The following is a 25,336-nucleotide window of genomic DNA, read 5'->3' on the forward strand; positions in this document are numbered from 1 at the left end:
TTTGTTTGGCTATGCCCTGCCCCCAGAGGTGGAGTCTACAGAGGCAGGCAGGCCTCCTTGAGCTGTGGTGGGATCCACCCAGTTCGAGCTTCCTGGTTGCTTTGTTTACCTACTCAAGCCTCAGCGATGGCAGGCGCCCCTCCCCCAGACTCACTGGCACATTGCAGTTCGATCTCAGACTGCTGTGCTAGCAATGAGTGAGGCTCTCTGGGCGTGGGACCCTCCGAGCCAGGCGCAGGATATAATTTCCTGGTGTGCCATTTGCTAAGACCATTGGAAAAGCGCAGTATTAGGGTTGGAGTGACCCGATTTTCCAGGTGCCTTCTGTCACAGCTTTGCTTGGCTAGGAAAGGGAATTCCCTGACCCCTTTTGCTTCCCAGGTGAGGTGATGCTTCACCGTGCTTCAGCTCATGCTCGGTGCACTGCCCCCACTATCCTGCACCCACTGTCCGACAAGCCCCAGTGAGATGAACCCAGTACCTCAGTTGGAAATGCGGAAATCACCCATCCTCTGCGTCATTCACGCTGGGAGCTGTAGACTGGAGCTGTTCCTATTTGGCCATCTTGGAACCGCCGTGTAAATTTTTTTATAGAGAGTTGGTCATTATTAAGTAGTCTATTGAGATTTTCCCTTACAAGTTCTTCCATTGCATTTGTGTCTGGAATCCTTGACCATTCCAAATTATTTCAATGTTAATACACTTTCTACTAGTTTAAATAAAATATCATTTTTACGTTTAACTATTTAATATATATGGAATTTATTTTTATTTTGATAGAAAGTGAGAATCTAAATAGTTTCTTCCCAACAGTTAATCTTATCAACACCATTAAATAATTCTTTCCTTTTGGATTGTGATGTAACCTTTGGCATATACTAAATTTTTATCCATACTGAAGTTTGTTTCTGTACCCTCTTTGTAGTTCTGTTGCTTCTGGCATGTTTATCAGGCCTATATACCATTTTAGCATTACAACATATTTTACTAGTTAGTAGAGTAAGTCTCCCTCTATCATACTTCTTTGTTGAACTGTTCTAGTCTCAATTATTGGTTCTTCCAGAGAAACTTTAGAGTGATGCTGTCAGTTTTAAAAAATTTGATATTTTTATTAGAACTGTATCAAATCTATAAATTGAGAAAGATACCTTAATAAGATTTTATCTTTACATTTAAGAATTTATGTCTCTATTTATTGATATATGCTTTTGTTCACATTAAAAGTTTAATAATTTTATTCATGTGGATCCTTCATCTTTATTTCAAACTTAGTTACATTACATTTATGTTCTTGTCACATGTGGATTGTTAAAATTCTTTTGGCTACCTTATTTCTAAATGAAATTATTAGCTCCATTGTTTTTTAGATTATTTTCTTGGATATTTTAAAAGTAAATAGTATCAACTGAAATAATGATTATGTTTCTCCTCTATTCTAATAATTATTCCTGTTATTATGTTTCAAGGCATTGTATAAAGCTAAAATTTCTATAAATCATTAAGAATGGGTGTGACAGCAGTTGGGCATGGTGGCAAGTAGTCCCAGCTTCTTGAGAGGCTGAGGTGGGAGGATCACTTGAGCCCAGGAGTTTGAGAACAGTCTGGGCAACATAGCAAGGCCCCATATCCTAAAAAAATAAATGAGTGTGATAGGAATATCATTGTCTTATTTCTGACTTTAAGGTTATGTGGTCTGCAGCCTGAAGCCAAACTCATTTGTCATGTTAATAAGGTATTCTGCTATCCTTAATGTGACAAGATAATTTATTGAGATATTCATTTGAGTTTTTTCTTGCTATTTTTTTTTCATCCCCACTCTGAGAAGGGAGCCAGGATCTCCAGGCTCCTTTTTTGGAGAAGTTTGTGTGGCAGAGCTGAATGCATTAGATGTCTTTCTGATTTCAATTTATCCCACATGATTCTGATGCAAATGGATAAAGAGCAAATACTGAGCAATTTTGGAGTAAGAAAGAGAGAAATGAAACATGATGGGCATCTCCCATGCCTTCAGGAAAAGAGGTGGCTTGAAAGGAGAGGTGCTACTGTTGTTGAAGTAGCCCAAGTTGCTCAAGTTCAGGAACATTCAAAGCTGAGGTGAGGAAAGGTTTGAGGGATGAGGACTTGGGTACCTGAGGATGCAAGTTTTGGATGAATCGGCCACACAGCTTTATTTTGGGAATATACTGAGGTGATTCCTTAGTTGGGATAACTGTGGGGAGAAGGTGAAAACCTTCCCCAGGATTTCATATTCCAAAGAATTCCAGAGTATGTGGCCAGGCAGAGGGGTGAGAAGGCTCTGAGGCTGGGGACTGTGCCTGTTGGGAGAGTGGTGAGGACAAGGGCCCCTGAGAAGCCTTTACATGTGGTCTATGTCCAGTCTAGTATCACCAGAGAGAATCATGGAAATCAAACTCTCAAGAGTTTGATCAAATAAAATTAAAGTGGCACTTCCTTTTGACAAAAATGGTATAACATTTTTATACATTACTCATTCTTCTATCCTCCTGTGATTTAAACTTAAAATATTTACTTTTTCTGCATTTAAACATACTATTTCTGGATTCCCTTACTCTATACTATTTTATGTTTACTTTATATTTTATCACTTGTGAATAGATAGATAGATAGATAGATAGATAGATAGATAGATAGATAGATAGGAGACCGAGACTGGGGGAAGCAGAGGAAATAGGACATGACCCAGAGAGATGTAGGAGGCACAGAAAGACATAACGACAGTGCCAAGTACATGGTGCGAAGTACACAGAAATGAACAAGAACAGATAGGTACAGATGTTAGAGGGAAACCATGTAGACAGAGAAGCAGAGCAAATCATGTTAATGACACAGAAGGGTGCAGAGATAAAAGAACAGGCTGTGGTTAGATGTGCAGTTGGATAACAGGTCATGAGCTTCCACTGCAAAACACAGAGTGGCAGGTTTGACACAAAAGGCCCATCTCCCTAGAGGTTGCTACTGTTTTTCTGTTAGGTACTGGGCAAGTACCTTTCATATAGCCAGTGTAACAGCTTCACTCAACAAAACTGCTCAGAGCAGAAGCAGAAGACACAGCTGCTGTAGAGTAAGGTCCCATGTCCCTCTGCCTCTGCTTCCCTTGGGTGCTCCGTAGCCGGTCAAGGCAGAGAACAGGGAGAAGTGCGAATGGTTTGGTATGAACAAAATAATTTCTGTGCATTCTCCATGGCAAGGGAGTGACTCTTCTCTTCCTTTGGTAGAAACAATATCTATCATTATTTCTATATTTTTAAGGCTTTAAAATACTGTTAAACTATAATTCTAAAAAATTATTTAAAAAATGCTTAACTGATCCATTTGCAAGTAAAATATAACCTATTTTCTTTCCCTGGACTGGATCATACATTAGGTCCAAGTGCATCAATCATATCTATTCTATACATGGGCTGTGAGCTTCAGACAAAAAGCAATTTAATGGGAGGCACAGTTTTTAAAATGGGATAAAAAATGGTTGCAGCAACAATTAGAAAATAAAATAAAACCCTAATATCATTTATAGAAGCATCAAAATACATCAAATACCTAAAAATAAAAAATAAACCTAATGAGAGACGTTGAAGACCTTTACCTTGAAAATTACAGAACAATGCTGGGAAAAATTAAAGAAGACCTAAATTAATTATAGTCAGTCTTCTGTATCCATGGGCTCTGCATCTGTGCATTCAACCAACCATGGATATAAAATATTTGGAAAAAAAAAGGATGGTCATGTCTGTACTAAACATGTGCAGACTTGTTTTTCTTGTCATTATTCCCTAAACAATATAGTGTAAACAACTATTTACATACCATTTACATTGTATTAGGCATTATAAGTAATCTAAAAATGATTTAAAGTATATGGAAGGATGTGCATAGGTTATATGCAAATGTCATGCCATTTTATACAAGGAACTTGAACATTCATGGATTCTGGTATCTGTGAGGGTCATGGAAATAATCCACTGAGGATATCCACTGAGGGTACTGAGGGATGGCTGTACAAATATTTTATGTTCATGGATTATAAGACTCAATATTGTAAAGATGATAGTCTTAACCAAATTTATCTAATAGATACAATGCAACCCGATCAAAATCCCAGCAGAGGGGTGTGTGTGTGTGTGTGTGTGTGTGTGTGTGTGTGTGAAAATTGAGTAGCTCATTCTAAAATTTATGTGGAAGTAAAAAGGACCTATAATAGCTAAGATAATCTTAAAGAAGTAAGCAGAAGAAAACATAACATATGATACAGAGAAGGACGCAATGACAGGAGAAATAGGGTGCTGAAGGATTCACCCTCTCAGATGTCATGATTTATTATAAAGCTACAGCAGGGCCAGGCATGGTGGATCACGCCCGTAATCCCAGCACTTTGGGAGGCCAAGGCAGATAGATCACTTGAGGTCAGGAGTTCTAGGCCACATTGGCCAACATGGTGAAATTCCGTCTTTACTAAAAAAATACAAAAAATTAGCCAGGCATGGTGGCATACACCTGCAGTCCCACGTACTCAGGAGTCTGAGGCAAGAGAATTGCTTGAACCCATGAGGTGGAGGTTGCAGTGAGCTGAGATCGCACCACTGCACTCCAGCCTGGGTGACAGAGCGAGACTCTGGCTCAAAAAAAAAAAAAAAAAAAACTACAGTCGTTAAGACATGTGGCTCTGGCACAGACAAACAAACAGACTAATGGAACAGAACGAAGAGTCTATAAAGGGACTACACATATATGGCCACTTGATATATGATAGTGGAGAAAGGATGGCCTTTTCAATAAGTGGTGTTAGAGCAACTAGCTATCTATCTTGAAAAAAAAATAAAACTTGACCACATTGTGGTCAATGATTAGTGATGTTAAGTACCTTTTTATATGTATATTGGCCATTTGAATATTGTTTTTGATACACAAAAATTAGTTTCAAATGGACCTTAGATCCAAATATGAAAGATAAAGCTAGGTTTCCAGAAGAAAACCTAGGAGAATATCTTCCTGATTTTGGGTAGGCAAATATTTCTGAAACGGAACATGAAAAGCACTAACTACTATGAAAGGAAAAATTAATAAATTTGATTTCATTAAAATTAACTCCTATTATTCAAGACAAGATATTTGTAAAGATAATTGCAAAATATTCAACAAAGAGCTCATACTCAGAATACATAAACAACACATGAATCAAAAAAGAAACAATCCAATTTAAAAAATAAAAACAAAACCCCCCAAACCCCAAAACAACATGGGCATATGACTTGTACAGGCCCATCTCAAAGGAGCATATCTCTAGCTGTTTATGAAAAATAGTTCTTCTAATCATAAAGATCACAGAACTGATGACAGGTAAAACTGTCTCCTGCACAGGTCTCTGGTCTTTTGAGAAATGACAACCTGATATGAGCTTTGGTGTTAAAATCTCATACGATTTAAACTACAGTCCCAGAGCTACAGTTTACCATCTAATACTATATATATTCCTATATCAGAAGTGTAGGATTCCTTGTAGATTTATATGCTCCAGAATAAACTCTGAAGAGAATGGAGAAAAATTTCACTCAAGGGCAAATATGGAAATTCCACAGACCCAAACATGTCCCTCACTTGCAGATCTCCTCTGGGATGATTTCTCTTACCTCCCAGGCAGAGATGATGGCTCTGACCTTCATGGAATTCCTACACCTCATACACATCTATCTGCCACTAGCACATGATAACTCAGTTATTGGTTTACATGTCAGTTCCGTCTTCCCCACCTGACGGATAGCTCCTTAAAGGAAAGGGCTGTGTTTAATTCATCTTCAGATTCCTGGTATCTAACATGGTATAGGGCAGATAGTAGGTACTCATAATATTTCTGAAGGACTAAACGGATGATAGAACAACCTGAAGATAGGTATGCAGAAAACTTTGAAAAGTCTGTATGGGAAGCCCAAAGGGAGCCATGAGAACCCGAGAGTCAGAGAGGCTGGTAGAGCTGGGGACTTGAGGAAACCACCCAATGTGTTACAAAGAGGTTCCATACTCTAACATCCTACATATTTTTTTCACATAGTAATTTTAAGTTAAATCACAGAGATATACAGAAGTTCATCGAGGGCCTAAAAGATTAGTTCTGCATTTGACTTTTGCTCTGAATGTTTACTTAAGATCTTTGTACAAAACAGACCCATATGAATATCCTGTTCTTTATAAACAAACAGTAGGCCTTCTGATCTGCCATTGATAGATAGCATTTGAGGATTTTTTTTTCCCTTTAGACTGGAACAGCACATGTGTGTCCTCTCATCTCCCCTATGAACACATGTTCAAGTTGGTTGGATGAAATTAATTAACCAGGGGTCAAAATTTGTCTTGGCTTATAACTAATTAGTTCATAGATGAAACATATAACTTTGGTACCTAGTACCAATATGCATCATCTTTTAACTAACTGAACTGAATCAAAGACAATAAAATTTAATGAAGAATTAATTTCAAAGCATAAAGTTATATTACATAATTTTGTTTGTAATTGAAAATTTACCAAAGAGCATCAGTAGTTGTTCACTGGGGTACTTCGCACTTAACAATGCTGACTACAAAATGTACATGAATTTGAAGGCTACAAATTTCAACATCATAAGACTCTAAAATAATTACACACATATTAGATTAACATTTTCTCAGTAATAGTTAAGTCACTGATAAGAATTGCCCAGCTAGATTTTTTACCTCTCCAAGGACTTCCTGTAAGATTTCAGCATGTTTTTCATATGGCTGTTCAAAGTTTATATCCTGTGACATTTTTATAGTCTCTTCAATCATGGTCACAACCTCTGGATGATCTGCAGTTACCTCTTCTATCAAGTCTTCTGTTGGGGCTAAAGTAAAATAAGCTGATAAATTAATGCCATTAATAATTTTAGTGGACAATACTACTTGCAATAAAACATGATTGATAATATCTGACCCAAGAAAGTATTATTTTCATGTCACCGCAGCACATGTTGGAAGGAGGGAGAAATAAGACTCTGGAGAGGAAATGTTAGGTCAGGAATCACAGCACCGCAAACTCTCAGAGAAGTAACTTAAAGCCAGTACAGCAGAATGAAAGTGAAAGAGGCAAGAAGAAAGTCATGTCTGGCAGGAGTCAAAACCAGGGAAGAAATGTAGGGGCCAGAGGATTCCAGGAATCAAGTGAAAGCATAAGCATCCAGGGAATGAGTCAAAAAACAAGATGGATACTTCCAGTTACTAGCATGAGACTACAAGGGACAGTGAGAGGACAAGAGGTAGGCAAGTTGGAGGGGATGGAGAAAAGGTGGCATAGCCTGGTGTTTCAAGTGTTACACTTGATTCTTGTCCTTTTTGGTGTGAAGTGTGTCCTTGCATGGCTGAGTTGGCTCTCAGGCTGCATCATGATGTAAATGTTTGTTCATCTGCTACTCTAATGAGATAGGAGTTTGGCAGTTTCACCTGACTCCTTGAATTCTGCATTTGCAGTCAAGCTTCTGAGCCTCTGCCTCAGGGCTCCAACTGTCAGGGTGTCTAGCTGGAGCCAGACTGATCCCAACCCAGAAAAATCCCAAAGGGTCTTCAAAAGCAGTTGCCTGCTGCCCTCCCTGCCTGAAAGTGTTCTCAGGGATCAAAAGACTCACAGTTCCTGGAAAGCCAGAGCAGAAAAGTCAAGAACCCATGATCTTACTGTGCCCATGGGAGCGGGTGCATAGTGAAGCAGAAACAGCCAGGCAAAGATGCGAAATGTGCTAGAAGCCGCTAATTGTCCACCCAATATCCATTCGCCTCTTCCTTCATACAGCAACCCTGATTTTGTCAAGGCTAGCAGTGTGCCCTGCTGAAAAACTATATCTCTCAACTTCCCTTATAGCTTGGACAGCCAACAAGAGGCAAGCAGAGTTTGTGTGTGTGTGTGCACATGTTTGTGTGTGTGCACTCGCATGCACATGTGCTCCTCACACTTGGCTGACTCAGCTAAGTGCCAGTTTTTGTCTTTCCTTTCCTTTTCCTTTCCCTTTCCAGTGTTCCTGCTAGGTACACTGATGTGATGGCTGGAGCTCCAGCAGCCATCTTGTGGCCTATTATAGTAGCTGTGTGCCAGGGCTGGCAGAGCAGAAAGATAGATTGCCTGTCTTCCCAACATTCTTTTTCACCAAAACAACATATCAAGTATTAGTTTTTCAGTGTTCTTGCATGTCCAACATAATAGAGTAGCCATTAAAATAGAGTACTTGGGTATTAATCATGCTTTTATTTTTTTTGAAAAATCACACATTTCTTCTTCTAAATTCTGAGGGAACTACTTGTGTTTTTTAGAACCACAATCTAAAAGAATCAAATTATACAAATATTAATTTACCTGTATCTGAATACAACTTTACATCTTGACTAGCATCTTGAGAATGCCTTTTAAATGTGAATGTTTCACCAGTTTCTTTTCCATCTGTGAATAAAACATTGTGAATGCCTAAAGAACGGTATTAAAAAAAATGTAGGTGATTCCCAAGGAAGATTGTAATATAAGCCTAGGGAACCAGGACTCACATTCCCAATTTTTAATTAAAATAACAACCCTAACATTTAAATGGGTAAATATATTTAGCAGCAGATAATGAACATAATAACAAAACCAGGAGTAATTTCAGTTTATTATAATGCCAATGGATCTAAATAGAAAAAAACAATCAACAGTGCCCTTCCTGAGGCAACTAACACCCTCTTGACTCCTAGAGGTCAATGATGTGCTTACCTCAGAGACACAGGGCAGAAGAATGCCTTCTTACCCATGGATACTGGCAATATTGGCATCCTTCCAGCAGTGGATAGAGGTGCTGCTGCCTGCTTCTAACTTGGACTGCCTCCCCCAAAGATGGAGCAGACAGTCTTGGGGCAGGGCTTTCTTTGTGGATTGGAGTTGGGAACTCCACAGCAGCAAAGATGAGGCTGTCAGCTGCCATCTGATGGTCAAAAATTTAATGTATAGGGGGTGGGGTCGTTCTGTGAAGGCTGTGTGTGTTAAGGGAGGAGGAGTGCCATACGTGAGTTTCTGACAGTGCCCTGTTCAATTCTTACTAGGCTTTAAATAAACAGCAGGCAAGCACATCTGTCTGAATTAGTAGGAGAAACTAAACAAAAAATCAGCTCTACATTATTTAACAAAATAAATGATAGATGCACTTTAAAACTGAATAAAAAAACCAAAATGTAAGTTTATATATATAAACTTACACAAATATATTTATATAAAAATTTATACAAATACATATAAATTTATGTATATAAAGCTATTATTTATATGTGTCCTTTCAATTATTTATATATAAAAAGTCTTCCTCTCATTTATATAATTATATATTATATATTATAAATTGAACGTTTATAGAATTTGATATAATCAATCAATCCTCTCAATCAGACATTTAGATATAATAATAATCTATCCTCTCAGACACTTAATATATATATAAATGCCTGATTGAGAGAAAGACTTTTTAAGCCTAAAAGTGAAGGAAGAAAGCAACAAAGAGAAAATAATGATTTGACTGCAAAAATATGAAAAATACCTTTACTTCAAAAACAGCAAGCTGACTTAGAAGACAAACCACTCAATTTGTAAAATATATGAAAAATAAGAGACTAATATAGAAAGTTTATACAGAGACTATATAATTGATATAACCATTTAGAAAAACGGGCAAAAGACAAAAATAGTCACCTCAAAAAAGAAGAAATATAAATGGTTAACAAATATGAATATAAATTTCTGAAGTAAAAATTAAAACAACAGAAAATACTGAGGAAACAATGACATGGATTTTGTATATTACTGGGGAAACATAATTTGGAACAATTTTATGCAAAGCAATTTGACTCTGTCTATAGCTTCATATTTATTAATTTAGTAGTTCCTAGAAATCCCCAGGAATTCTAGAGAAATTGTGCAGTAACTTATAATGAGGGTTAAAATATTTCCCAATGAAGTAATATAATTAAATGGTACATTATAAGTAAAAAAATGTAAAAACAGTCTATATTATAGCTATTCTATAATATATTACAGCTATTCTATAATATATTACATATAATTATTATATAATGTAATGCTATATGCTCTTATGTTCAAATATGAATAGAAAAATTTTATAAGGATAAATAGCACAATGGGTAAATGATAAAATTTCACAGCTAAAATTGTGGCCTTAAGATGCTCTGATTCCAATACGTTAAAGTAGAGAGCTTTTAAAAAGAATTTATGATATGATAATGATTTTATAACATTGGAAACATTCAAACATTTTTCTTTGGGCTCTAATTGTATCTGACTCCCCATTTATATGTTTTCTTCTTTATTCTAATAAATTGACTTCTGTTCTACAGTTGTTCAGGTTAAATCCATAAGGAAATATTTAGCTTTTTTCCTCCTGAAGTTTCCAATTTTGGGGGTAATTTTAAGCATAAATATAAACATAATCAAATATGAAATAAATGAAAATGAGATCCACAAACGTGGGATTAGCAGTTCACTTTGTTACCATCTTTATCAACTTTAGCAGCTTGATCATGGAGGACATTTTCTGACTTTGTTTTGGCTTCTTCGGTGTCCACTAAAGAGCTGCCTCTGTCCCTTTGGGAGCCTTGAATGTACCCTGCAATGAAAGAATAATATACTTTATCAGCTAATCTATTTATATTAGGGATGATTTGGTCAATAACATCAGCAATATATTTCTTTACCTTCTTCATCAATTGATGAGTGTGTTGCCTCCATTGGGAATACTCCAAACTCCATTTTTTCATATTGCCTTTGAAATTCTCTTAAAGCTGTTTCAGCTGAAATATAACAATGGGTGGTGTTAGCAAAACGTAGTTGGGGATAGAAAAACAGGTAGAGTGACCAAAAGCCCCTGCTTCAAAGTTAGACACAGTTGAGTTTCAGTTCTGACTTATAAGCTGTAAGGGCTGTGTGACTTTGGTAAATCACTTGATCTTTTTGTCTCAATTTCTAGGCAAAATGAGGATCTTTAAACTGAAAGCACTGCTGTGAGGATTAAATGAGGTAATGAATATAAATACTTAACTTGGAAAATGCTGGCACACAGGAAGGCTGTTCCATGTTAGCTGCCATCCTCTGTATAATCATGTAATTTTTATGTTAAAAAAACCTCAATATTCTCCACTGACAAATTTTTCTTAAAAATATATTGAGGCAAACTTCAACAGCAAAAAATTCCAATTTAAAATTTTAAGTAGAGTTACTCCTATTGTCAGATTTAGAATAATTAGTGAATTTGGAAAAGAAAATAAAAAGGCTTTTAAGTTTGCAGCATATGAGAGATAGCATCTATTGCTATATTCCAGTGGGAGAAGGCAATTTGTGGAAAGCTGTAAAATCTATGATTTAATGTTATAATTTAATGTGAAAGAAACATTACAGATCACTGTTCTTCCTCCAGGAGCCCGGCTAACTTCCTGCCTTGGTCCAGGTCTCAGTCAAACGTCCCCTCTTTGGAGAGGTCTTCCCTGGGCATCCCAACACTTCAGTATCCCTACTCCAATCACTGTCTGCCCCATTACCATGTTGTATTTTTTTTCCATCTGTTCCCTTGGCTTTTTTTTTTTTTTGCCTTCTGCCTTCTATTAAAATGTGAGCACCACAAGGATAGGGACTTCATGTGTCTTGTTCTCATCTGTATTGCTGGTGCCTAGAATAAAGTCTAATACAAAGTAGGTATTCAAGTATTTGTTGAATGAATTAATAAATTCATTTTGTCCAGCCTTAAATAGGTTGAATAACAAGCCACTTTAGTAGACTGAGCCAATATTTCTCCAGCTTCAGTTTGTAAGTTGACTGAGATATTTTAAAATTTTAATTTTAATTTTGAAGGTATTATACTAAAAATATAACTTCACTCTAGATTGTCTGGATAACCATTTGGATGGCATGCAATTTCAGTGCTGGTCTTTTTGTTGTTTTTTGTAATCTCTTGGGCACCATGTTGAATTATTTTATTTGTTTATAGGCTGAGAAAGAAGAGAGGCAGATTTATTAGGTAAATACTGTGTTCTCATCTAGCAAAAACTCAACACAGAGAAGTAATTTCCTTGCTATTTAAATAGTTTCAAGCATGCAAAATGTTGAGAAGCTTCCCAATTTATGTAAAAAGTTAAAAAAGAAACGATAGCAAACTCTGACAAATAGAGAACATCTCCCCCGCTCAACTATAAACCAGTCACACCTAAGAATGTAGGGGAAAAGTCCTAAATAAACAAACAAAAGTAAAAAAAATGTTATAAGAATAATGAAACTAGGCACAGCGGCTCATGCCTGTAATCGCAGCACTTTGGGAGGCCAAGGCCGGAGGATCACTTGAGGCCAGGAGTTAGAGACCAGCCTGGACATCATACTGAGACCCCTGTCTCTGCCAGAAAAAAAAAAATCACAACCACTATTTGACATTAATTGCTTACCTACATAATTAGTCAAGAAAGGAAATAAATATAAGTATTGGAAAAAGAGGGGTTTAAACTATACTTCTTTTCAAATTATGTGATTAGCTCTCTGGAAAACCCAAGAGAATCAACTGAAAGTCCAACTGAAACGAAGTAAGGTTTATTTCAGAAATACAAGAATTGTTTAATGTTGGAAAATACATTAGTATAACTGATCAAATCAATAGGTCAAAGGATTAAAAACTTAATGATTTTCTTGAAAGATGCTGGCAATACATTTGATAATTTTCATTTTTTTTTCTTTCTTTTTTTTTTGACACAGGTTGGAGTGTGGTGATGTGATCATAGCTTACTGCAGCCTCAACCTCCTGGGCTCAAGTGATCCTCCCATCTCAGCCTCCTGAGTAGCTGAGTCTACAGGTGTGGACCCCCACACCCAACTAATTTTTTTTTTTTGGTAGAAATAATGTCTCCCTTTGTTGCCCAGGCTGATCTTGAACTCTTAGCCTCAAGAGATCGTCCCACTTTGGCTTCGCAGAGCATTGGGATTACAGGTATGAGCCACTGACCTTGACTGCTTTTGGCAATTTTCAATATCTATTCCAGATAAAAATACTTAATAACCTGATGGAGAAATATTGACCAGAACCCCTTTAAAGATGGTCAGTATCACAACCACTATTTGACATTCTAGAATTGCTCACCTACCTAATTAGTCAAGAAAGGAAATAAATATAAGTATTGGAAAAAGAGGGGTTTAAACTATACTTCTTTTCAAATTATATGATTAGCTCTCTGGAAAACCCAAGAGAATCAACTGAAAGTCCATCAGAACTAGAAAGTAAGTTTAATAAACTAGATAGTTATAAATAAATATATGAAAATCAAATAGCTTTCCAACATACTGTTAATAACTACTTAGAAAATATTATAAAAAGATCCCATTCACTAGTAATAAAATGACAAAATATCTGGAAATAAGCTTATTAAGAAAACTGTAGACAACACATGAAGAAAGCTACCAAATATTATGGAAAGACAAAACTAGACTAAAAAATGGAGATTTCATGTCTGCATGAGAAGATCTAATAGTAAATATGAGAACTCTTACCAAATTATTATATAATATTAATACAATCCTCCCATTTGGATTTGTTGTAGAACTTGAGAAAAATTCTACAAGCATCCTAACATCTAGTACAGTTTCTGGCAAACAATAAGCACCCATTTCATGGAACAAATGAAGAAATAATCAGGAAACAACTTAAAACAAAATGTTTTGAGGGAGGATTTATATTATCACAAGAGTAAAAATGTATCATAAAGCTTTGATAATTACATTATGTATTAAAAGTTTACTATAAATATCAATAGAATAGAAATTCCAGAAGTTTATACATACACACACAAACTTAATATTAGGATAAAGTTGGCATTTCAAACCTCCAGTAAAATTATGGATAATTTAGTAATTGTTATTTGTAACATTGGCTCAGCATTTGGGAAAAATAATGAATTTAGAGATATATCTAATACAAAATGTATTATAATAATTACATCTTAATTAGAAAGAAGTATTATTTTAAAATCAGTGAATGTAATTTTGCGTATACCATAGGATCACAATTAACCATTACAAACATGAATAGAAAAAAAGAGAGCAGCAAAGAATAAGAATGGTTCTCGTTCTAAGTATGAGTGAGTTTTCCTTCTATCTGCTTTTTCTGGTTTTCTGTGCTCACTTGAGAGACACAGTAAAGAAGAGCACATTTATTTGAATCCCAATCACTTGCTGGCTGTTGACTCTTAAATAATCCCTCTGAGTTTCTTCAACCACTAGAATTGGCCATAAGAACATCTACCGTGCAAACTTGTCATGAGGATTAAATAGGATAATACATGCAATGCAGTTAGCATAGCTCCAGCCTGTAGTAAATGCATCACGAATGGCTATTATTACTTTTGTCATCAGAAAAACATAATTAGGAAAAGGATATTTGGAATGGATGCACTGATGGCCACAGAGTGCACTGCCATAGCTTCTGGGACTCTGAACAGTGGTGACTGAATCTAGCTAAAATTGCTGAAGCTAATCCCAGATTTTGGATTTAGATTTTTGAAAGTGAGGAAGATCCCATGTTGTACATAGGAAATGTTGCATTAAGGACATTCCATTAAGAGGAAAGGTTTAGATTAAGCTACTTTCATGTGTTCTAATATGATTAGTTACAAGACTACCAACTAGAGATAGAAAGTCTGCAAAAACCAATCAATGAACATCAAAAGTAGTCATGAAATGAGAACTCTCATTTTTCCTGGAGAAAAACAGAAAAAAAAAAACAAAACGCTTTTTGTCTATTCTGCAATGTGATCAACAGTCAGTGAGACACAGGAAGAGGCAGAATGGTCAGGAGAAAGACCACCAGGACTTTGGAAATGAGGGATCAAGTCTCAGCTATGCTACCCGCTGGGTGATTTCCAGGGAGCCATTCAACCTCCATGAACCTCAGTTCTCTCAACTATAAAATTAGAGAAGGGTGTTAAGTGATCACAAAGGCTTCTTCTAGTTTCATCGCATTAAATTAATCTTTCCCAAATAGAAAGATTTAGTCACAATCAGGACTGCCATATAAGTCTAAAACAACAAACTCCACAAGAGTCAGGTGGATTCTTCCTGTTGTTTTAATGACTGGTGTAGATAAAGGTGTAAATCCTGATCAAACAGTCTGCCCAGTAAGGTAGACCCATTGGAGAAAGAAATCCAAATTTAGAGGCTCATTCTGATTCATTCCTTAGAGGTCTAGAATTGAAAGTTTTTTTCTCTGCTTTTGAATTGGTTTATGTACATCCATTCTTCAACCATTTGTTAAGAGTCTATAATGTGTAAAGTGCCAAGAATGCCAAGATGAGCTAAACAAAGTCCTTGCTTTCAAGTAGCCCGGCTTAATTTTTACCTAAACTTAAAACACACATTTTAAAAAGATGTTTCACCTTGTTTTCTAGCTTGCAGTTCCCTGAGAAGCTTTTCTTTCACAACTTTAATTGCTGCTGCAGTGGCCTCAGCTATGGTATTTTCTACTAATGTTTCACGGGCTTTATCAAAACGTGGCTGAACAAGTTGGGCATAGTCGACTACCTGCAAAGAATATTTGAGAAAATCGACATAAGCAGGAGTTATTGTGACTATTAAACACATTGTTCATCTATCTATGTATATCTATCTATATTTCTATCTCTATTCCAAAAATATTAATACTGCTTGAGGTATATTTGGAGTTATGTTCAGAATTCACCTATTTTTGAGTACTTGCTTTAATAGAAATTCAGCCATATTTTTCATGTAGGATATATGTCTATATATGTATTTATCATGTAGTATATATATTCAGATTATGTATATATTTTGACTTAACAGAAGTTAAAACATATATATATTTTAAATCCATGTTATATGTATAACTTACATACAATAAAAGGCATACATCTTAAGTACACAGTTTGATGAGTTTTCACAAATATACATATATATATATTAACCACAATCAAGATATAGAACATTTGCCGGGTGTGGTGGCTAACATTTGTAATCCCAGTACTTTGGGAGGCTGAGACAGGAGGATCCCTTGAGGTCAGGAGTTCAAGAGCAGCCTGAACTTTTACATCACTCCCTAAATTCCCTTATGCTCCTTTGTTGTCAATCCTTTCCTGCCTTACTCCTTCCCCAGCTTTCATTCCTGGCCCCTGGCAACTACTTTCTTTCTGTAGCTATAAATTAGTTTAGTGTTACCTTTTCTAGAATTTCATATAAATGAAAGCATACAGTATGTGATCTTTTTCAGGTTTTCCCTCCTTAGCAGAATGTTTTGGAGATTCATCAGTGTTATTGTGGGTATCCTTTTTATTGTTGAATGGATTTCATTGTATGAATATACTACAGTTTTTTATTCATTTATCTATTGATAGACATTTGGGTTGTGTTCTAGGTTTTGGTTATTATGAATAAAGCCGTGATGAACACTTGTACAGAAGTCTTTTTGTGGTTATGTGTTTCCACTTCTCTTGGGTAAATACCTAGGAGTGAAATTCCTGGGTCATATGGTAAGTGTGTAGATAACTTTATAATAAACCATCAAACTGTTTCCAAAACAACTGAACTATTTTACATCTCTACCAGAAAGATATGAAAGTTAGTTTCCTCGCATCCTCACCAACACTTGGTTTTGTGAAGTTTTTAAATTTTCTAGTGGGTGTGAAGAAGTATCTCATTGTAGATTAAATTTACAGTTCCTGAATCATGAATACTTTTGAACTTCTTTATATATGCTTATTCACTTATTTTTTTCTCTTTAAGCATATGTTCAGCTTTTGCCTAAAATTGTGTTAGAATAATTTCTATGTTCTGGATATAACTTGTCAGGTAGATAATAGATTTAATACAGAATATTGGGATCTTAAAAATAGGATTCTATGTGTCTTTAATTAATATTTACAGATCCCTATATTCCCATTCTGCTTTTCTTTTGGTAGGCTTACACTGTTTTATTCCATGCCAATAAATCTTCATCCACATCTTCAGTTTTTAGTACATGCATAGTATTGCATCAGATGAATATGTTACAACTTACTTAACTAAAATATGAATACATATGTATGGTATACTATATACACATAATAGTATACACATATACACCATATACTATATATACTATTCATACATATACATATACACCATATACTATATATACTATTCATATATATACATATACAAACATATACATATATATGTATATACTTGCTGATAAGAGCATAACCATTAGGCATAGGAATTGGAAATACATATGCAAGCCTAAATTCCATGCATATCCTTTGAACTGTCAATTCTGTTTTATGGATTTTTCTTAAAAAACTGTCAAAGATCTACAATGAACTCAAACAAATTTACAAGAAAAAAACAAACAACCCCATCAAAAAGTGGGTGAAGGACATGAACAGACACTTCTCAAAAGAAGACATTTATGCAGCCAAAAAACACATGAAAAAATGCTCATCATCACTGGCCATCAGAGAAATGCAAATCAAAACCATTATGAGATATCATCTCACACCAGTTAGAATGGCAATCATTAAAAAGTCAGGAAACAACAGGTGCTGGAGAGGATGTGGAGAAATAGGAACACTTTTACACTGTTGGTGGGACTGTAAACTAGTTCAACCATTGTGGAAGTCAGTGTGGCGATTCCTCAGGGATCTAGAACTAGAAATACCATTTGACCCAGCCATCCCATTACTGGGTATATACCCAAATGACTATAAATCATGCTGCTATAAAGACACATGCACACGTATGTTTATTGCGGCATTATTCACAATAGCAAAGACTTGGAACCAACCCAAATGTCCAACAATGATAGACTGGATTAAGAAAATGTGGCACATATACACCATGGAATACTATGCAGCCATAAAAAATGATGAGTTCATGTCCTTTGTAGGGACATGGATGAAATTGGAAACCATCATTCTCAGTAAACTATTGCAAGAACAAAAAACCAAACACCGCATATTCTCACTCATAGGTGGGAATTGAACAATGAGATCACATGGACACAGGAAGGGGAATATCACACTCTGGGGACTGTGGTGGGGAGGGGGGATGGGGGAGGGATAGCATTGGGAGATATACCTAATGCTAGATGATGAGTTAGTGGGTGCAGCGCACCAGCATGGCACATGTATACATATGTAACTAACCTGCACAATGTGCACATGTACCCTAAAACTTAAAGTATAATTAAAAAAAAAAAAAAAAAAACAAAAAAAAAACAGAAAGAGAAATTCCAGAGCAAAAAAAACAAAAAAAAAAACAAAAAAAACTGTCAAAGATATGTTCATAATTTTGTTCATCATAGCCTAGTTTATAGTTGCAAAAATGTATATATCAAAATATAGATAATACATGTGTATTATATATTATCTATATATGTGTATTATATATTGTATATATTTTATACATTATATATAATACACATATTGTATATATTTTATACATTATATAATATACATTTTTATATATTTTATACATTATATATAATATACATATTGTATATATTTTAGACATTATATATAATATACATATTATATTATATATTATGTACATATACATTCCTATAAGAAAAAGAATCAGGAGTCTCCATATGTATACATACACATACATGTACATATATGTATATGTATATACTATAGTCATATATATAGTATATATAGCATACTATATCGTATAGTATACTATGTATATAATAATATGTAATATATATTTGTATAATAGTATACTATAGTATATTATACATCAATGTATAATATAATATTAATATAATATATATTAATATAGTGTTAATATTATATTACTATTATAAATCAGGATAATACAATAATATATTAATATTAAATTGCATATTATATTGTATATTAATATAATATATGCATAGTATGCTATATATGTATATATGTGTATTATAGACATAAAATATATGTATATAATATATAATGTGTATTATAGACATAATGTATACATATATGATATATGATAATATGTATAAAATGTAGATAATATATAACACACATATTATATATTATCTATATTTTGGTATATACATTTTTGGTACATAAACTAGGCTATGATGAACACAATTATCTACATATCTTTGATAGTTTCTTTAGAAAAATCCATAAAACAGAATTGGCAGTTCAAAGGATATGCATGGACTTTAGGTTTGCATATGTATTTCCAATTTCTATGCCTAATGGTTATACTCTTACTAGCAGTCTATGAGAATGTACTTCTCCCATCCTAGGTACACATCGAAATTAGGTGTTTTTAGTAATCTTTTAACTGTTACAATGAGATTGATATGACAAGTCTCTGTTTTTTGGCATCTCTCTATCAGGGAGGTGGTATCCTTTTGCTAATGTTTAATGGCTATTTGTATCTATTATTCTGTGAATTGCCTGTTTGATTTTTTTTTCCTATTGAAGCTTTATCTGCATATTGATTTGTCTTTTTATATTTTAAAATGATAATTCCTTTATCTGACACATATTATGATGTGATGGGTTTAAAATAAGTCCACAAATCTTTTGACACACCTCCCTTCAGAAGGTGGAGCCTAATTCTCCTCTTTAGTGTAACTAGAACTTAGTAGTGACTTGCTTTAAATAGAGTACGATGCAAGTGATAGTGGATGACTTTTAAGACTAAGTCATGAAAAACATTATAGCTTCCTCCTTGATTAATTCTTTCTGAGGGTAGTCAGCTGCCAGGTCATGAGGACACATAAGCAGTCCTATGAAGAGATCTACATAGAAAGGAACTGAGGTCTCATTCATGTGATCGAGCCATCTTCCAGCCCCAGCCTAGTGTCAGATGAGTGCAGCCCCAGATGACATCTTACCTGTAACCTCATGAAAGCATTTAGGACAGAACCATGTAGCTAAGCCACTCCTGAATTCCTGACTCAGAGAGACTATGCAAGATCATAAACGCTTATTGTTGTTTCAAGCTGTTAGGGTAATTTTTTATGCAGTAATAAATGAGAAACACACACATGGCAAATATATACTCAGTATTTTCCTCTGTATGCTGTCAAAAGTTTTACTTTCCTTTTAATTTTTTTCCTTTTTCCTTCTAATTTACACTTTAAATAATCTGAAATTACCTGGATAAAACTTTTTCTTCCCCAAATGATGAACTAGTTAGGAATCTTAGACACACACACACACACACACACACACACACACACACACACACATTTCTTCTCCCACATCCCTCCGTAAGCCCCCAAGAATTAGATAATACATTTTAAAAAAATAATATGCATTATTCATGTTATTATGCTTATGGAACAATTACTCACAATTACGTAGAACATGTTCATATTTCTGTTCCTGCAGGTTTTTTTTTTGTGGGGGTTGCTTAGTTTTCTATATACCTATCAATAATGAATTCCCAAACTCTTCTTCACAAGTATAAATTTCTGCTTGAAAATACATCAGGTAATCATCTCCCTGGAGCTATCTCTTCTGGACCCCTCTGTTCTCCTACCCCAAACTGGATTGGTTATTTTCTAGGCTTCCAGGCCTGCAGAACAACTGACATCATGGGCTCTCCTTCCCCCACCATCTTGGGATTTCCTAACCCTCTTCCTTGTCAGGGATGCATAGATGCCCTTTTGCTTCTGGATCCCATGTCACCATCTTGGTTTAGGCCCCCATTTTGATGCACTACATCCTCTAGTAGCTTCTGACAAAGAATACATGAGAGGCAATTTTTTGTGTGTGTGACTGAAAATGCCCTCATTCTATTATTAGACTTCGTTTGCCTGAATATAAAATTCTAGGCTATCAGCCACTCCCCCCAAAAATTGTCTTCTGGCTTCCAGAGTTGTGGTTTGAGAAGTTCCATGTTATTGGAATTCCCAGTCCTTTCCATGGGACCTAGTTTTCCTCTCCAGAGTCTTCTAGGCTCATTTTACAGAAGCTTCTGGATCTTTGCCCCCATTGTCTTATAATTTCAAAGTGATGTCCCTTCGTGTAGGTCTTTCTCCATCCATTTTACTGGGAATTTACTGTGTCATTTCTATCTGGAAGCATGTCCTTCAATCTGGGAAATTTTCTGCAGTTATCTCTTTGGTAATATTCTTTTCTCTGGTAGCTCCTACAAGAATTCCTATATGGAAAATGAACACCCTAGACTGACTTTATAGTTTCTTTTCTTTTCTATTCTTTTTTCCATTTGTCAGTTTATACTAATACCTAAAAGGTAACTTTAATTTCTATCTTTTAACTCTTCTATTGAATTTTTCATTTGTGTTATATTTTCTTTTTTAATGTTCTTTCATCTTGCATATATTTTAATTTCAAAGGACTCTTTTTGTTTTCCAAATGTTCCCTTTTCTGTTTCTAATATCCTGATCTAGTTTCTGGATTCAATAATTACTCTTATTTTCCAGAGCATGTTAATAATTGGAAGCTTCATTTGCGTGAGTATTGTTTGTTTAGTGTTTAGGTGATCTGGCTTGGCAATTATATTATGAAACTCGTAGTCATCAGAAGGCCAGAAGTGTCTTTTATCCGAAAATGTCTTTGTGTTAACTCATTTTTCAAGGACATTTTCACTTGCTATATACTTCTAGGATGGCTTTTCTTCTTGTAGTTGTTTAAAGCTCTTGTTTCATTGTTTTCTGATTGCCATTGCTTCTGATGACAAGTTGGCTGTCATTTGTATCAATGTTTTATTCTATTTAACATATCAATTTTTCTGTGACTGCTTTAGGGGAGGGGTCTCCCACCCTCAGGCCATGGACCGGTAGGAACTGAGGGGCACTGCAGGAGGTGAGCGGTCGATGAGCGTTACTGCCTGAGCTCTGCTTCTTGTCAGAGCAGTGGCAGCATTAGATTCTCATAGGAGCACGAACCCTATTGTGAACTGCACATGCGAGGGATCTGGTTTGTGTGCTCCTTATGAGAATCTAATGCCTGAGGATCTGAAGTGGAACAGTTTCATCCTGAAACCATCCTCCACCCCCACAACCCAGTCTGTGGAAAAACTGTCTTCCATAAAACCAGTCCATGGTGCCAAAAAGGTTGGGGACTGCTGCTTTTGGGGTTTTCACCATTAAATATGATGTGTGTAGGTGTGGTTTTCCTTGTATTTATCCTGTTTGGGGCTTGCTGAGCTTCTTGGACCTGTAAGTCAATCTATAATTTTTTGGTTTTTGCTTGGTTTCTTAATTTCAGTAATGTTGACAATATCTTCAAGTATTTTTTTTTTCTGTCCTATTTCCATTATAATCTTCTTCTGGGACTCCACTTACTCACATTAGACCATCTGATTTTCCCACAGGTCCCTGAAGCTCTGTTCATTTCTTTCAATATTTTTTTCTCCCTCTGTTTTTCAGACTGGAAATGTTTTATTGATCTGTCTTCAAGTTCTTCCACAAATTCCAATCTGCAGTCAAGCTAATTCAGTAAAACGTTCAGTTTGGTTTTTATATTTTTAGTGCAGGATTTCCATTTGGTTCTGTTTTAAGTAGTTTTTTCATTTATCTTAAGAGATTCTCTATTCTCTTATAAAGACCTTAAGCATTATTTATAATAGCCACTTTAAAGATTTTATCTGCTAAATCCAACATTTGGTCCATTTCAGGGCCAGTTTCTATTGTCTCCTTTTTTCTTGATATGGGTAACGTTTTCCTGTTTCTTTGCATGTCTTGTAACGTTTCATTACATGTTGGACATTGTGGATGATACATTATTAGGGACTTTGAATTCTGTTATCTTCCTCTGAAGACTGTCAGTGTTGACTTTTGTTCTATCAGGCAGTTCAGTTACAGTCATGTGTTGCTTAACAATGGGGATACATTCTGAGAAATGTGTCATAAGGTGATTTTGTTGTTGTGCAAACAGCATAGAGTGTACTTACACAAACTTAGAGGGTACAGCTTACTAAACACCTAGGGTATATGGTATAGCCTATTGCTCCTAGGCTACAAACCTGTACAGCTTGTTGCTGTACTGAATTTTGCAAGCAACTGTAACACAATGTTAAGGATTTGTATGTCTAAACATATCTAAATATAGAAAAGGTTCTGTGCAAATATGGCATAAACATTTTTTAAATGCTACAGCTGTATAGGGAACTTACCATGAATGAAACTTGCAAGTCTAGAAGTTGATCTGGGTGAGACAGTGTGTGGTGAGTGAATAAGAAGGTCTAGGACATTACTGTATACTACTATAGACTTTATAAACAATGTACACTTAGGCTACACTAAATTTATTTAAAATTTGTTTCTTTGTTCAATAATAAATTAACCTTGTCTTATTATAGCTTTTTTACTTTATAAACTTCTAAAATTTCTAAACTTTTTGACTCTTTTATAACAATTCTTACCTTAAAACACAAACTCATTGTACAGATGTACAAAATAGGTTCTTTGTATCTTTATAAGCTTTTTTCTATTTTTCGATGTTTAAGCTTTTTTTTTTTTTTTTTTTTTTTTTAGCCTAGCCCTACATGGGGTCAGGATTATCAATATCACTGTCTTCCTCCTCTATATCTTGTCCCACTGGAAGGTCTTCAGGGACAAGAACATGCATGGAGCTGTCATCTCTTACGACAACAATGCCTTCTGGAATATCTCCTGAAGAACCTGCCTGAGGCTGTTTTACAGTTAACGTTTTCTACAAGTAGAAGGAGTACATTCTAAAATAATGATTAAAAGTACAGTATTGTAAATACTAAGCCATTAACATCATTGTTTTTTATTGTCATCAAGTATGACATAACTGTACATGATTGTATGTGCTATGCTTTTATACATCTGGCAGCACAGTAGGTTTGTTTATAGCAGCATCACAAACACATAAGTAACTTGTGCTATGATGCTACAATGGCTATGACTTCACTAGGCGATGAGAAATTTTCAGCTCCATTATAATCTTATGGGACCACTGTTGCATATGCAGCACATAACTGTATTGGTTTACCACACTGAACTTCTGTTTTTTGTTTTTTTGAGACAGAGTCTCTCCTTGTCACCCAGGCTGGAATGCAGTGGTGTAATCTCTGGTCACTGCAACCTCCACCTCCTGGGTTCAAACAATTCTGCCTCAGTCTCCCGAATAGCTGGGATTACACATGTGCACCACCACACCTGGCTAATTTTCGTATTTGTAGAGACAGGGTTTTACCATGTTGGCCAAACTGGTCTCAAACTCTTGGCTTCAAGTTAACTGCCCTCCTCAGCCTCCCAAAGTGCTGGGATTACAGGCCACTGCAACCGGCCTGAACTTCTATTTTATGCTTTATTAAATCCAAATTTGGAAAGCCCCCAAGTATTTCCCAATTTGATAGGGCTCAATCTCCAAATTCATTCCCCCAGATTTTATTGAGGAGTGGTTGTAGGCTTGGTAAGGGAGGGTGTAGAGTAGGCCTTAATCTAGGTTGTGGTCCTTACACCCAAGGGATGGCCTTTACAGTGTGTCAGCTCAATGTTCTAGTAATAAGGCCTCTCCTTTGCAACTGGGCCAGATGTCTCAAGTCCCTGCACTGCTCAACCTCCAGTATCTGTTCTGTTCACAACCTGTAGGAGCCATCCTTTGATAAGCTTTGTGAAGTCTCCTTTGAGAAGCTCTTGGCCACACACACTTGGGCCTTGCTCCCACCCTACTCACAAGCAGCTCCCTTCTCCCTGCTGCTCTGCTTCACAGTGCAGGCTGCTTCAGAACTGAGCTCAGTCTCCTCAGCTCCATGGAAGCACCATGCTCTGCTTGTCCTGTCAGGAAACTGTCCCTATCCATGCAGACAATTGAGGTAACCATGGAGCTCATCTCATGAGTTTCTCTTCCCGCAGGGATCACGTTAGGAGGGTTAGTTCACTGTCATGGCTGGAATTTAAAGATTCTTAAAAAGATGGTAGCCATGTACAGTTCCATCAACAGTTTTTAAAACTTCCCATTCATACATGTTCTCTTTAGAACAAAGGTTGTCATTCTTTTGATATGGGTGAAAATTTTCATCTTACTATTATTTTATGTTACCTATTTCCTGATGAGGTTAGGCAGCTTTCATAAGTTTTTTCCACTGACAACTCAGTGGAAAACTTCTGTGGTTTTTCTCTAGCTATCTGTTGTCTATTTTCCTAGCATTGCCTATCTTTATCCTTTTGATCTGTAGGCGCTCTAAGTATACAGTGCCAGAAACATGTTTTTAGTTATACTTGTTTCAAAGATCTCCCAGGCTACTGCGTTTCATTTAAAAAAAACAAAGGCCTTGTATCAGAGAGAAATGTTTTATACTTTGATGAAATATAATTATCAA

The 25,336-nt window shown here is 35.6% G+C and overlaps 1 protein-coding gene across 19 annotated transcripts in view; it reads right to left on the reverse strand.

Moving 5' to 3' along the window:
* Positions 1-25,336, reverse strand: part of AK9 (adenylate kinase 9) — a 198,348-nt gene that overhangs the window by 110,787 nt on the left and 62,225 nt on the right. For all 19 annotated transcript variants that reach the window (XR_942337.3, XM_047418304.1, NM_001145128.3 and 16 more), the window contains 5 exons: positions 15,451-15,595; positions 10,744-10,839; positions 10,542-10,655; positions 8,369-8,452; positions 6,724-6,872 (listed from right to left, as the gene is read on the reverse strand). Coding sequence is in view for 18 of the 19 variants with exons in the window: in XM_047418304.1 (XP_047274260.1) it covers positions 6,724-6,872; positions 8,369-8,452; positions 10,542-10,655; positions 10,744-10,839; positions 15,451-15,595 (588 nt within the window). In the remaining variant the exon portion in view is untranslated. The remainder of the gene's footprint in view (positions 1-6,723; positions 6,873-8,368; positions 8,453-10,541; positions 10,656-10,743; positions 10,840-15,450; positions 15,596-25,336) is intronic.

This window comes from Homo sapiens, chromosome 6, assembly GCF_000001405.40.
Source record: "Homo sapiens chromosome 6, GRCh38.p14 Primary Assembly".
Taxonomy (NCBI): domain Eukaryota; kingdom Metazoa; phylum Chordata; class Mammalia; order Primates; family Hominidae; genus Homo; species Homo sapiens.